We start from the raw sequence: 14,782 nt of genomic DNA, 5'->3' as shown, positions 1-14,782 counted from the left end.
ACTATCCAGCTGCCTTTTGTTAAGAAAGCAGTATACCTCTCAGAATTCTGTATGAGCTTGCATTTTTATATATGCATAGAGTTCCAGGTATAGCAAATCACAATTGTGCAATATTTGAAACATACAGTCATGCATCTTATAAGGACATTTCAGTCAACAATGCACCACATATGTGACAGCAGTCCCATAAGATGATAATAGAGCTAAAAATTCCTATAACCTAGTGACATCATTATGGAAATTCCTATCACCCAGTGATGTCATAGCCATAATGACATCATAGTACAACTCATTACCTTGCCTATGTTTGGATATGTTTAGATACACAAATACTTAGCATTGTGGGACAAATGCCTACAGTATTGAGTACAGTAACATACTGTACAGGTTTGTAGCCTAGGAGCAATAGGCTATACCATATAGCCTATAGGTGTGTAGTAGGCTATACCATCTAGGTTTGTATAAGTACACTCCATGATGTTCACACAATGATGAAGTCCATTCTCACTGTAAACCCAGCTACTCAGGAGGCTGAGGCAGGAGAATCACTTGAACCTGGGAGGCGGAGGTTGCAGTGAGCCGAGATTGCACCACTGCACTCCAGCCTGGGCAACAGAGCAAAACTCCGTCTCAAAAAAAAAAAAAAAAAAAGGTTTAATTGACTCAGTTCTGCAGGCTATACAGGAAGCATGAGTGGGAGGCCTCAGGAAACTTACAATCATGGCAGAAGGTGAAGGGGAAGCAAGCACCTCCTTCATGTGGTGGCAGGAGAGAGACAGAGAGCAAAGCGGGAAGTGCAACACACTTTTAAACCATCAGATCTCGTGAGAACTCACTCACTGTTACAGGAACAGCAAGGGGGAAATCCGCTCCCATGATTCAATCGCCTCCCACCAGGCCCCTCCTCCAACACATGGGGATTACAATTCCACATGAGATTTGGGCGGGGGCACAGAGCCAAACTATATCAATATCCCTGTTGTTAAGTGATGCACGACTATAGTTATGTTAAAGAATTTTTTTTTATTATACTATAAAGAATTTTTTGCTGTTTATCTAAAATTCTAATTTAACTGGGTCTCCTATCCTTTATCTGGCAACCTTACTGTGGAAATAAATGAAGACCACCCAAATGAGAACAAACAGAGGCTATTTATTCAGAGCTTGCTACAGAAAGAAAGTCAGCCACCATCATTTGTGGTTGGCAGAGATTCAAAGGCAGGCAGGGGAGTGGGAAAGAGCTTCAGGTATGCCCTGGTTGGAGGCTATTGGTGGGCTAACTAGGAGTTAGACATGTTATGTGATTGGTCTGGGGAGCAGATTTGGCTTTCTCCAGTCAGATGTAAGTTGGAAGCTGGGGCAAAAATATAGGGCAGTTGTTGATGAAGATCTGACTGTTCTGGGCCAGCTGCTGCGGAGATTGTGGTTTGAATTCCCAAGATAGCTGTTGCAGAGGTGGTAGTTTAACCTGCTATAAAGGTTGCAGCAGAGGTGATGGTTGGGCAAAGGACCTGAATAGACATTTCTCCATAGAAGATATACAAATGGTCAGCAAGCACAGGAAAAGATGCTTGACATTTTCGTTATTGGGTAAATGCAAATCAAAATCACAATGTGATACTACTTCAAACCCACTAGGATGGCTATAATCAAAAAGATGGAAAATAACAAGTGTTGCTGAGGAGGCAGAGAAAGAAGAACCTTTATACATTGCTCATGGGAATGTAAAACGGGGAAGCTACTGTAGAAAATAGTTTGGCACTTTAAGTTAAACATAGAATTACTCTATGATCCAACAATTCCACTCCTAGCTGTATACTCAAGAGAAATGAAAACATATGTCCATAGAAAAAATTGCACACAAATACACACAGCAACATTATATACGGTGACCAAAAAAGTAGAAAGACCCTAAATGTCCATCAGCTGATGAATTGGTAAACAAAATGTGGTACATCAATATAATAGAATATTATTCAGCAATAATAAAAAATGAAATACTAATACATGGTACAATGTGGTTGAACCTTGAAAACATTACACAAAGTGAAAGAAGCCAGACACAAAAGGCTACATATTGTATAATTCCATTTACATGAAATGTCCAGAATAGGAAAATCCATAAAGACAGAAAATAGAGTTTCTTTTAGGGGTGATGAAAATGTTCTGGAATTAGTACTGATGGTTGCACAACTTTTGTGAATATACTAAAAATACTGAATGGTATACTTTAAAAAAATACTGATTTTCCTTAGGGGCACATTTTCTAGTTACCACTTTTAATAAGTAAGGTATGTCTTCTAACTTTTGCAGTCCTCCTAAATGTACACCCCCAGGCAGCTGTACAAAATGGACCTGCTTTTGGTCTCTTGTCATTGTCTTATGTTCTTCTACAGGCACAGCTTCTGTGTCTTCTATCTCAGTCCATTAGTTATGACTGGCAAATGCTGATAGAGACCCACATAGAGGACTTTAAAGGTTATCCAGGCCGCTTTATAAAATAGACTAGTTCAGGTGATAGAGTAAGGACTACAAAATATGCTAAGGGTTTAGGAAAGGTTTAAAAAATAGTTATGGTTTTTTTCTCCCTTTCCTTCTGCTTTTATTCTCTCTATAGTCTTAGAAAAGATGATTGTTATGGCCTCTGGTTAGTTTTAATCATCTGGGGGAACCCTGAAAGGCCCTAAATTGCAGCTCTAATGTCCCTTTAGCTGTCTCTGCTTCAACATCTACTACTACTTTGCTTATATTTGATTTATCTCAAGCAGGGTCTTCCAAAAGTGTCTGATCAAGCCATCTCCAATAAGCTGGTTGACTTTAAGATGGTAAAAGCTTTACATCTTACCTTTCTCACTGCTCTGAACACTTCGTCAAAGGCCTATTGGTAATATATGTTCTAAACTAGCCATCCTCAACACCAGATACGCATTTAAATAACCTGAGAAATACTTTTTAAATGCTCATGAATAAATGACTAAGCCCCAGACCCAGCTTAATTGTCCTGGGGTGGAGGCTGATAATCGATATCTTTGTGGTTTTTTTGTTTGTTTGTTTGTTTTTGAGACGGAGTCTCACTCTGTCACCAAGGGTGGAGTGCAATGGCACGATCTCGGCTCACTGCAACCTCTGCCTCCCAGGTTCAAGCAATTCTCCTGCCTCAACCTCCCGAGTAGCTGGGACTACAGGCATCTGCCATCATGTCCAGCTAATTTTTGTTTTGTTTTGTTTTTTTGAGATGGAGTCTTGCTCTGTCGCCCAGGCTGGAGTGCACTGGCGCAATCTCGGCTCACTGCAAGGTCCACCTCCCGGGTTCATGCCATTCTCCTGCCTCAGCCTCCCAAGTAGCTGGGACTACAGGCGCCTGCCACCACGTCTGGCTAATTTTTTGTATTTTTAGCAGAGATGGAGTTTCACCGTGTTAGCCAGGATCATCTCGATCTCCTAACCTGGTGATCTGCCCGCCTCAGCCTCCCAAAGTTCTGGGATTACAAGCATGAGCCACCACGCCCAGCCTAATTTTTGTCTTTTTGTAGAGATGGGGTTTCACCATGTTGGCCAGGATGGTCTTGAACTCCTAACCTCAGGTGATCTACCTACCTCGGCCACCCAAAGTGCAGGGATAACAAGTGTGAACCACTGTGCCCAGCCGAAAATCAACATTTTTAAAATGTTCTACCAGGCAATTCCAATGGGCAGCCAGGGTTGATGAAAACTGCACCAAAAACACAGCTATTAGAATGATCAAAATCCAGATCACTGACAACAACAAATTCTGGGGAGGACGTGGAGCAACAGGAACTCTCATTCGTTGTTGGTGGGAATGTAAAATGGTAAAGCCAATTTGAAAGGCAGTTTGGCAGTATTTCTTACAAAACTAAACAAACTCTTACTATTCAGTCCAGTAGTTGTACTTCTTGGTATCTACCCAAAGGAGTTGAAAACTTGTGTCTGGACATGGATGTTTATAGCTTTTTTAAACTAGCATCTTTAAAGGCTTTCCCAGATAATCTCAACATCTCTGTCTTTGCATTGGTGTCAGTTGTCTGTCTTTCTCCATTTGAAATTCCATAACTTCCTTTTTTTTTTTTGAAATGGAGCCTCACTCTGTCACCCAGGCTGGAGTGCAGTGGCACGATCTTGGCTCACTGCAAACTCTGCCTCCCGGGTTCAAGGAATTCTCTGCCTCAGCCTCCCGAGTAGCTGGGATTACAGGTGCCCGCCACCATACCCAGCTAATTTTTGTATTTTTGGTAGACATGGGGTTTCACCATCTTGGCCAGGCTGGTCTTGAACTCCTGACCTCGTGATCTACCTGCCTCAGCCTCCCAAAATGCTGGGATTACAGGTATGAGCCACTGCACCTGGCCAAGATGCCTAACTTTCATGCTTCTTCGTATTCTGAGTAATTTTGAATTATATGCTGGACATTTTGAATATCAGGTTATGAGACACTTCAACAATTTCTTTTTGTTTTGTTTTAGACACAGGGTCTCACTCTGTTGCCCAGGCTGGACTGCAGTGTGTGATCATAGCTCACTGCAGCCTTGAACTCCTGGGCCCAAGGGATCCTCTTGCCTCAGCCTTCACAGTAGCTAGGACTACAGGCATGTGTCATCACACTCAGCTATTTTTAATTGTTTTTTTGTAGAGACAAGGTCTCACTATGTTGCCCAGGTTGGAAACTCCTAGCCTCAAGCCATCTATCTTCTTACTTCAGCACGCAAAAGTGCTAGGATTATTGGTGTAAGTCACTGCTCTTGGCCACACAGAACAATTTCTATTTCTCTATCTTTGAGTTCACAAACTCTTTTCTTGTCTCCATTCTGCTATTGAATCCATTTGGGGAGAATTATTTTCCTTCGTTATCATATTTTCCACTTCTAAAATTTCCATTTGCTTCTTCTTTAAATATTCTTTTTTTGTGTGTGTGCCAGGACTTTGTTTTTACTTGTTTCAACAGTGTTCATGATTGCTTGTTTAAGCATTTTTTTTTTAGACGGAGTCTCACTGTTGTCCAGGCCAGAGTGCAGTCGCGTGATCTCGGTTCACTGCAACCTCTGCCTCCTGGGTTCAAGCAATTCTCCTGTTTCAGACTCCCGAGTAGCTAAGACTACAGGTGCGCGCCACCATGCCCAGCTAATTTTTTGCATTTTTAGTAAAGACGAGGTTTCACCATGTTGGTCAGGCTGGTCTCGAACTCCTGACCTCAAGAGATCCACCCGCCTCGGCCTCCCAAAGTGCTGGGATTACAGGCATGAGCAACCGCGCCCAGCCTAAGCGTTTATAAAATAGCATCTTTAAAGGCTTTCCCACATAATCCCAACATCTCTATCTTAGCAGTGATGTCTGCTGATTGTCTTTCCCTATTTCAGTGGCCCTATGTTCCTGGTTCTTCATATTCTGAGTAATTTTGAATTATATGCTAGACATTTTTAATATTTAGTTATGAGACTCTTAGTCTTGTATAATGCTATGAGGTATGTTGCTATTTCTGTTTTAGCAGGTCGTCTACCTCACTTCACAGGCAGCCACCATGGTCCTTGTCCCTATGGCAGGGCCAGAGCAAGAGAGGGCCCTGGAGGGGAGGGGGGCTCAGTTGAAGATGGAATGAGTTTTGAGGGGAGCACTATTTGAGGTATTTGAGTACCCGAGGCATATGAAACAGCAGAGGGAGGTCGGATTCCATTATCTTCACGGGGATGAAAATCGGGAGTGTGGGGTGTGGGGCTGGGAACTGCAGCCCTCCCCACCTTTGGGTGCTAGCCTCAGTGCGCATGTTCACTGGGTGCCTTCCCGTCGGCCCCTTCGCCCACGTGGAGAACGCCAGGGAGCTGTGAGAGTGTGCAGTCGCGTTCCTGCTGTCCGGACACTTTTTTCCTCTACTGAGACTCATCTGGTAGATCCGCAGGCCAGTCCTCCCAGGGGCTGAAGTGTGAGTGAGGGTGAGGAGGAGCCAGTGGGCTTCAGGCGGAGCCAGTGGGCTTCGGGCAGGTTCGGTGGGCCCCTCGGTCTGGTGGTGTGTGGCTTTTGAGGGAGAAGGGCCTCAGTGGCCTCCAAAAGAGAAGGGCCTCGAGCTCGTCCTCCTTCTCCTCACAGGCTGCGACGCCGCCATCGGCTTTGTGGTCGTGAAGGGGCCAGGACAGGGAGGAAAGTGGGCCATGAAGGGGAAGCGGTCAGGGGCTCAGGTGAAAATGAGGCGAGTGCTGCGGGTGCTGTTGGAGGGGTCAAAGTCCCGAGGTGGTAGGAACCCATGACACAGGGCACATTCCTGAGTCCTGAATGGGGCCCCGAGGCGGGAGGTGGGTGGTGAAGATGGCGGTAAAGAAGGGGCCTGGAACCTGGGAAGGCTGTGGGCTGGTGAGCGCCCCCCAGCGGTGTGGAGTGGGGAGTGCCCGAGTGAGAAACACCCGAGTGAGAAGCGTGGCAAGGTCTCACCTCTGCCATAGAAGGTCCGGAAACAATGGGAAGGACTGGGAGAGGCTGTGTGGCCCAACCAAACTTGATTTGAGGGGGGTGAATGGCTCTAGTAAGTGGGAGTGTGCCAAAAGCAGCAGTCACGGGAATTGTGATTCACTAGTGTTTTCATGTGGAGTCCGCTTGTGAAACTAAACCTCATCAGAAACGTCCTCTGTCAGAGGGGCGCAGTGGTGCGCGCCTGTAGTCCCAGCTACTCCGGACGAGGCAGGAGGATCGCGTGAGCGGGAGGTCGAGGCTGCAGTGAAGTGTGATCACGCCACTGCATTCCAGCGTGAGCAACAGAGCGAGATTCTGTGTCTAAAAGAAATTTTAAAATAATGTCCTCTGCCTTTTGCCACATGCCTTAAGATGACTACTCTGCCAGCTTGGGGAGCATAAGTGGCTTTGCAAGCACTCAGAAAACGTACACACTTGCACTTAACTCTGGGACTTATTTTGAGAGTATTTTCAAAATTAAAATGACAAGTTAACATTTAGCCATGGAAGTGATCGAATATAGCTGTCCTCTCAAGTGCATGTTCCCAATCACAATTTTCTCTTTTCAGTGTGAAATATGGGTTTTCTAAGAAGATTAATCTATCGGCGTAGACCAATGATCTATGTAGAATCTTCTGAGGTAATTGGGCCTATGCTGTTGAGTGCTTTAACGTTAATTCGATGTTTTCTATTAGCAGAAATTAATTTTTGTGATAGTGTTGTTGCATTAGTATAGATACACTAATAAAGGTAGTTCATGCTGATTAAAAAAATAAGATTCTGGTATCTCATGAAGGAAATATTGATTCAGGAGGATTTTTTTTTTCTCTTGTGTTCTCCAACTTTTGGCCATGACTTCTTTCTCATGCTTTGCTTGTGAATGACACATAGATTATACACATCTATTCCAACATAGAGTGCAATAGCTTCCAAAGTCCTTGTGGGTAACTTTTCTCGCAGTAACCTTTCTGTGGGTAGAGTAGCCTTATTAACCATATAGAATAAAGTTGGAGAAATATTTTTAGGTTTAGTTATGATCAGAAACATCTATGCATTCTCTGTGTGTATACGTATATATTTTTTGACATGTATTAATAACAAAACTTTTTGTCTTTGCACACTCACACACATATTCCCTACCACAAGGAGTCCAGTGATGAGCAACCTGACGAAGTGGAATCACCAACTCAAAGTCAGGATTCTACACCTGCTGAAGAGAGAGAGGATGAGGGAGCATCTGCAGCTCAAGGTGAAGGGAAAGGGAAGAAGAATGCCTGTTGGGGTGTGTGTGTGTGTGTGTGTGTGTGTGTGTGTGTGTGTGTGTGTCTCATGCATTGTCACATACCAGGAACAGGAGGAATGAAAGCCATGCAAACGATGCCTAGAAATTGACTGGAAAAGTGAAGAGGGTATAGTTTGCAGCTTACCTTAGGGAAATAAATCCCTCACTATGATAAAATTTCTCCACTTTATGAATGAGAGAATGGAGGCCCGGGGATTGTGTTTTGTCCAAGAACACTTGACTGGTGAATACAAAATTTGTGTTTTGTTCCAAAGTTTGTGTCTTCCTACCATCTATGTTGCTGTAACAATAGTAAATGATTTTGCTGAAAGTGCTTAAAACTCAAATGCTTTACTGTAATGTAGCTTAGTACTGGCCCAGGAATAGACCCAGTTCAGAGGAGCAGGAGCAACTCCAAAAACTGAGTTCCTGATTGCTGGCCACCATTTCCTTTGATATTTTTATGTGGTAAGTTTGTTGAAAGCTGGAGAATTCAGGATACTGCCATACAGGTAGCTGGTGTAGTATGATTTTTTAAGTGGCTTTTAGGAGGTGATTAAATCCTTTTATGGTTAGAAAAACCAAAAAAAAGGAATTATCCTGAGATTAACATGAGATGGAAATAATTTCTCCGAGATAAAATATTTTGAAGCAAAACAATTATCTAACTCAGGTCATGGATTATTCTAAGGATTCACTGTTAAAGGTATCTAGAATAAGACTGACAACAATGCCCATTAATTGCTGTCCACTCATTCCTTTGTTCTCAGCGTGAGACAGTATATTTGCTGTAATTCACAAATAGTGTTATTTTTGGTGCTTTGTTCTACATGGGGTTCATTTATGGAATATTACATTTAGGACCTTTGGACCTAAATATAACTTTATTTGAACAAAGTTAAGTTTCTGTTTACCCCAGTAGACAATGGGTGTCGTGACTGTAAGATTTTCCATAGTCCTCAAATCCATCCAGCTGCTCAATCCTTCAGAAACTGACACTGTAATTGTAACTGAAATCCTATCCATGATGTAGACTTCAGATTTCTCAGCTGATGCACACTGCTGTTGGTACTCTATGGCCGAATATAAGTATTATACATGTCCTGTGGTTTATCCTTAGATTGTCATTTAGTAGAAAGGTCTCAAACTGGGCTTAGTGCTGTGAAATCATAGTCCCAGCTACTTGGGAGGCTGAGGTGAGAGGATCGCTTGAGCCTAGGGTTCAAGACCAGCCTGGGAAACATAGGGAGACCTCATCGCAAATAAATAAATAAATAAATAATAAATGTTTCGTTATATAGGAAAACAAACATGTAAAGTTTGTTCTTAGCTGCTGGTAATGTTGCAACCATAACTCCTTACTGAACTATAACACTTAAAATTAGTTACCATGGTAAATTTTATGTTATGTGTATTTTTTAACACAATTAAAAAAAAACTTCTGTCTTCCTAAAGTTCAGTGTAGTTGTCATATATTCTTACAAGTTTTTACTTTATATATTTTCAAGACATAACATTTGTAGAAAATTTGCAAGAATAGTACAATGAACTCATATACTTTTCACCTAGATTCACCAATTGTTAATAGCTTCTGCTCCATTGTTTTCATGTCTCTTCCCTCCCTCTCTTACCCTGCTGCCCACACACTCACACACACACTTACGGATATTATGTTTACTCTTATTAATGCTGCATTGTTCAGATAAGGTTTCAGCTATTATGGCCCTTTACCCTAAGTACTTGAAAGTGTTTATATATCCTCAGAACAAAGAAAAAGTCATTCCTTGGATAATCACTGCACAATGATCAAACTCAGGACATTTAACAATGAGAACCTGCAGTCATTTAATACACAGAGTATACTCAGATTTTGCCAGTTATCCAGATAATTTTCTTTTTTCTTTCTTATTTTTTTTTTTCAGACGGAGTCTCACTCTGTTGCCCAGGTTGGAGTGCAGTGGCAAGATCTCGGCTCTCTCTAAACTCTGCCTCCCAGGCTCAAGAGATTCTCATGCCTCAGCCTCCTGAGTAGTTGGGACTACAGGCAATGGCCACCGCACCTGCCTAATTTATTTTTTCTTTTGTATTTTTAGCAGAGCCTGGGTTTCACCATGTTGGCCAGGCTGGTCTCTAACTCCTGACCTCAGATGATCCGCCCACCTCGGTCTCCCAAAGTGCTGGGATTCCAGGTGTGAGCCACCACGCCCGGCTGGCTGATACTGACATTTTTCAAGAGGATAGACCAGTTGGTTTGCGGAACGTTTAGCACTTTGGGCTTTTTTGTGTAGTTTCTAAAGACTGTTTTTTCACTCACCATTTATTGGTGCCTACTCATGCCATATAACTTGCTAGGTGCTAGGAGTCTAAATGCTAATGAGAGACAGGATGTCAGCCTTGAGTCATTTAATATAATAAGGACAATCAGAAATACAATAACAGATAAGTGCAAAGGAGGCAACAAAGTTGTCTGAGGGCAGTCTTCAGAAAGGAAGAGGGTAATATTTGGAAAACCCTGTTTTCCTGTCTTCTGCCAACAGACTCCTGAAATAATGTTCTTGGGATTCTTATCAACACATTTATTATTACAGTACCTAAAGCTTTTATTTAATAAGACCAAGAGCATGAATATTATTTTCTTATTCATATTTCATGTGTTGCTGCTTAAAATGATAATTTTGTTTTATCTTTAAGGGCAGGAGCCTGAAGCTGATAGCCAGGAACTGGTTCAGCCAAAGACTGGGTGTGAGCTTGGAGATGGTCCTGATACCAAGAGGGTGTGCCTGCGAAATGAAGAGCAGATGAAACTGCCCGCAGAAGGTAGGTAGTCCATTAAGCATGCAAATTGTAGGGTGTCTGTTTCCACAGTATTATAATTTTCTTTTTTTTCTGAGATGGAGTCTCACTCTGTCACCCAGGCTGGAGTGCAGTGGCTCAATCTTGGCTCACTGCAACATCCACCTGCTGGGTTTAAGTGATTCTCCTGCCTCAGCCTCCCGAGCAGCTAGGATTACAGGCGTATGCCACCACAGGCACCTAATTTTTGTAATTTTAGTAGAGACGGGGTTTTGTCATGTTGCACAGGCAGGTGTCGAACTCCTGACCTCAGATGATCCACCCAGCTTAGCCTCCCAAAGTCCTGAGGTTACAGCCCTGCCACAGTGCCTGACAAATAAATGTTTCTTTTTTTTTTTTTTTTGTATTTTAGTAGAGACGGGATTTCACCACATTAGCCAGGCTGGTCTTGAACTCCCGACCTCAAGTGATCTGCCCACCTTGGCATCCCAAAATGTTGGCATTAAAGGTGTGAGCCACCATGCCTGGCCCAGATAATTTCCTTTATAGAATTTCTTTTTCTGATCCAGAGTCCAGTTCAAGATCACGTCTTACATGTGCTTGTCATGTGTTTCTAGTTTCCTTTAATCTGGAATGTTTCCTTAATTTTTCTTTGTCATTCAGGATACGGACATTTTTGAAGAGGATAGACAAGTTGGTGTGCAGAATGTTCAGGATTTGGGGATTTTTCATGTATTTTTTAAAGAACTTTTTTCACTCAGCGTTTATTGGTGGCTACTCATGCCATGTAGGAGTCTAAGTGCCAGGAGTGTAAGTGCTGTGAGAGACAGGGTTTCAGTCTTGAGTCATTTAATATGATAAGGACAATCAGAAGTAGAATAATAAAGAAGTGCAAAGGCAGCAACAAAGTTGTCTGAGGGCAGTCTTCGGAAAGGAAGAGGGTAATATTTGGAAAACCCTGTTTTCCTGTTTTCTGCCAACAGACTCCTGAAATCATGTTCTTGGGATTCTTATCAACACATTTATTATTACACTAGTGAAAGCTTTTATTTAATAACACTGAGAGCATGAATATTATTTTCTTGTTCATATTTCATGTTTTACTGCTTAAATTGATTATATATATACACATATATATGTGTATATATACACATATATATGTGTATATATACACATATATACACATATATACACATATATATGTGTGTATATACACATATATACACATATATACACATATATATGTGTGTATATACACACATATATATACACATATATATGTGTGTATATACACACATATATATACACATATATATGTGTGTATATACACACATATATATACACCCTATATATGTGTGTATATACACATATATATACACCTATATATGTGTGTATATACACATATATACACACCTATATATGTGTGTATATACACACATATATACACATATATGTGTGTATATACACATATATATACATATATATGTGTGTATATATACACACATATATATGTATATATACACATATACATATATGTGTGTATATATACATATATACATATATACACATATATATGTGTATATATATACACACATATATGTATATGTATATATATATATACACACACATATATATGTATATGTATATATATATGTATATGTATATATATATATATATATATATATATATATATATATTTTTTTTTTTTTTTTTTTTTTTTTTTTTTAAGGGCCAGAGCCTGAAGCGGATAGCCAGGAACAGGTTCACCCGAAGACTGGGTGTGAGCGCGGAGATGGTCCTGATGTCCAGGAGTTGGGCCTGCCAAATCCAGAGGAGGTGAAAACACCTGAGGAAGGTAGGCAATCCATTAGGCATGCAAATTGTAGGGTGTCTGTTTCCACAGTATCATATTATAATAATTATTATTTTTTTGAGACAGAGTCTCGCTCTGTCAACCAGGCTGGAGTGCAGTGGTGCCATCTCGGCTCACTGGAGCTTCTGCCTCCCAAGTTCAAGTGATTCTCCTCCCTCAGCCTCCCAAGTAGCTGGGATTACAGGCGTGCTCCACCACGCCCAGCTAATTTTTGTATTTTTAGTAGAGACGAGGTTTTGCCATTTTGCATAAGCTGGTCTCAAACTCCTGATCTCAGGTGATCCACCCACCTCAGCCTACTAAAGTGCCAGGATTACAGGCATGAGCCACTGCACCTGACCCAGTATTATGTTTTTAATAACACAGGGGTAACAATACTGCCTCCTTAATAATAGAATTCTTATATAAAGGTTATTTGAAATGTAGTTCAGGTCCCAGCAGCCAACTTATAGACTGTCAGATACAGAAACAAACTGAGACAAAGCCATATTGAATTATAACTTTTGAGTATAAATCCTTAAACCAATAGCTCATGATTTTCAGATGCTTTTGTAAAGGTCTGCTTTTAATAAATACATAACACATTTGTAACACCCATCAGTTGGTGTGAAATATGCTGAAGCACGGATGCAGGTTCTAATACCAGCTCTTACAGCATTGGTGAGATTCTGAGCAAATCCCTTACCTTCTAAACCTATCTTTGGTCTTATAAAAATAGTGAGTTTAAGTCAGATATTTTAAAATCCTTTTCCATTCTGGTTCTTTCATACTCTGATCCTGTTGCATAGAATGCATAGGATACAGAGATCATCTGTTTTACATGATTTATTTATCATAAATCATGAAACCCTGGCCTGAGTCATCTGAAAACCTCTGAATTGAGATTTCATTGCTACTAAGAAAGGGAGCGGGCACTCTGCTTCATGTTAGTTTTTCTGTGTGGAGACCTGAATGCCTATTCTTAGGTACTGTCAATTTTTGAATTGTCGCTCTGACAGAGTGACAAGTCTCACTCTGTCACCCAGACTGGGGTGCTGTGGTGCGATTTCAGCTCACTGCAACCTCAGCCTCCCAGGCTCAAGTGATCCTCCCAACTTAGCCTCCTGAGCAGCTGGAACTACAGGCACAAGCTGCCATGCCTGACTGATGTTGTTTTGTTAAAAAATTTTTTTTATACAGATGAGGTCTCACTGTGTTGCCCAGGCTGGGATTCTCTGGCCCTTAATGAATAAGTGCTTTTTAAATCTTTCTCCAAGGAAACCTTGAGTGAGTGAATAATCAAATGGTGAGAGACCATTTAGTTTCTATTTTCTGTGGGATGTAGGTCAGTGATGCTCAGCATGGGTGTGAGTAAGATGCCTGTGCTACGCACACTCCCTGCCCCACTGTCAGTCTTCATGAGCCACTATTTCTAATAAGACTGTAGACACATACATGATCTCTAACCATATCAAATGTTGCATGTAGGTTTCAGATTTTGAGGCATCAGTTGGTAAGATTTGAAGTTCAAAGACCATGACTCCAGTACTTTCTGAGTAATCCACCGAAGTATGTTTTACACATGTGTTTTCCAAGTTGCTGACTGTTAATTATAAGTGCTTCTGGATTTAAAGGAAGCACCTGATGTTTACGGAATTAATTACCTTTAAATTCTACAGGTCTACCCTCAAAATTTATACAGAGGTTTACTTGGCTATAAGACACAGGATCGCCCTTAGAGTTCTATTTTTAGTCCATTTTATAAAACCCAAATTGTAGTGTCCTTTGTGTGCCTTTTGGGTCATCTAAATAATCTGCTGCTAAATCATCTTCCTAACAGTTATGTTTCTGTTACAGATGAAGGGCAATCACAGCCTTAAAAGAAGACACGCTGAAATGGTTCAGGCTGCTCCTGTGTTGGAAATTTGACCATTAAAATTCTCCCAATAAAGCTTTACAGCCTTCTGCAAAGAAGTCTTGTGCATCTTTTGTTAATTTTACTTCCAGGTGTTTGATGCTCTGAAATGTGTATCATTCTTTGACATTTTATATGCTAGCTGTTTGAGCTGGTATGTAGAGGCATAATTCCTACATATTGAGTTTCTATCCAGCAACCTTGTTAAATATGCTTATTAATTCTAAAAGTTTACTTCTAGATCCTTTTCAGTTTTCAACATACAGAATCATATCGTCTTTGAATAAGAACAATTTTGTTTCTGCCACTTTTTTTTCTGTTTTCTTTTGTATTTTTTGTAGACACGTGGTTTTGCCATGTTGCCCAATTTGTTCTTGAACTCCTGAGCTCAAGTGATCCACCCACCTCGGCCTCCCAAAGTGCTGGGATTGCAGGCATGAGCCACTGCGCCCGGCCTGTTGCTGCCATTTTAAACACTTTTATTTCC

General features: G+C 41.2%; 1 protein-coding gene across 2 annotated transcripts; it reads left to right on the top strand.

Moving 5' to 3' along the window:
- Positions 5,817 to 14,354, top strand: PAGE1 (PAGE family member 1). Of its 2 annotated transcripts, none has more exons than NM_003785.4 (6): positions 5,817 to 5,932; positions 7,023 to 7,093; positions 7,600 to 7,702; positions 10,427 to 10,552; positions 12,258 to 12,383; positions 14,238 to 14,354. In NM_003785.4, exons 2-6 carry the CDS (start codon positions 7,031 to 7,033, stop codon positions 14,258 to 14,260), a joined length of 441 nt encoding a protein of 146 aa, NP_003776.2. In that variant the 5' UTR covers positions 5,817 to 5,932; positions 7,023 to 7,030; the 3' UTR covers positions 14,261 to 14,354. The 2 variants fall into 2 exon arrangements, with proteins under 2 accessions (NP_003776.2, XP_011542300.1); XM_011543998.3 differs by having other exon boundaries at positions 5,817 to 5,942.

Source organism: Homo sapiens, chromosome X, assembly GCF_000001405.40.
Source record: "Homo sapiens chromosome X, GRCh38.p14 Primary Assembly".
NCBI classification, from domain to species: Eukaryota; Metazoa; Chordata; class Mammalia; order Primates; family Hominidae; genus Homo; species Homo sapiens.
The sequence above is the reverse complement of the archived record's forward strand: the minus strand, read 5'-3'. Positions and strand labels throughout refer to the sequence as shown.

Bases quoted from the DNA above. Each gene is read 5' to 3' on its own strand.
- PAGE1 (NM_003785.4), top strand. From the start codon at position 7,031: ATGGGTTTTCTAAGAAGATTAATCTATCGGCGTAGACCAATGATCTAT. The intron at 7,094-7,599 runs GTAATTGGGCCT...CCCTACCACAAG, and splicing joins TCTATGTAGAATCTTCTGAG to GAGTCCAGTGATGAGCAACC. The intron at 10,553-12,257 runs GTAGGTAGTCCA...TTTTTTTTTAAG, and splicing joins GATGAAACTGCCCGCAGAAG to GGCCAGAGCCTGAAGCGGAT.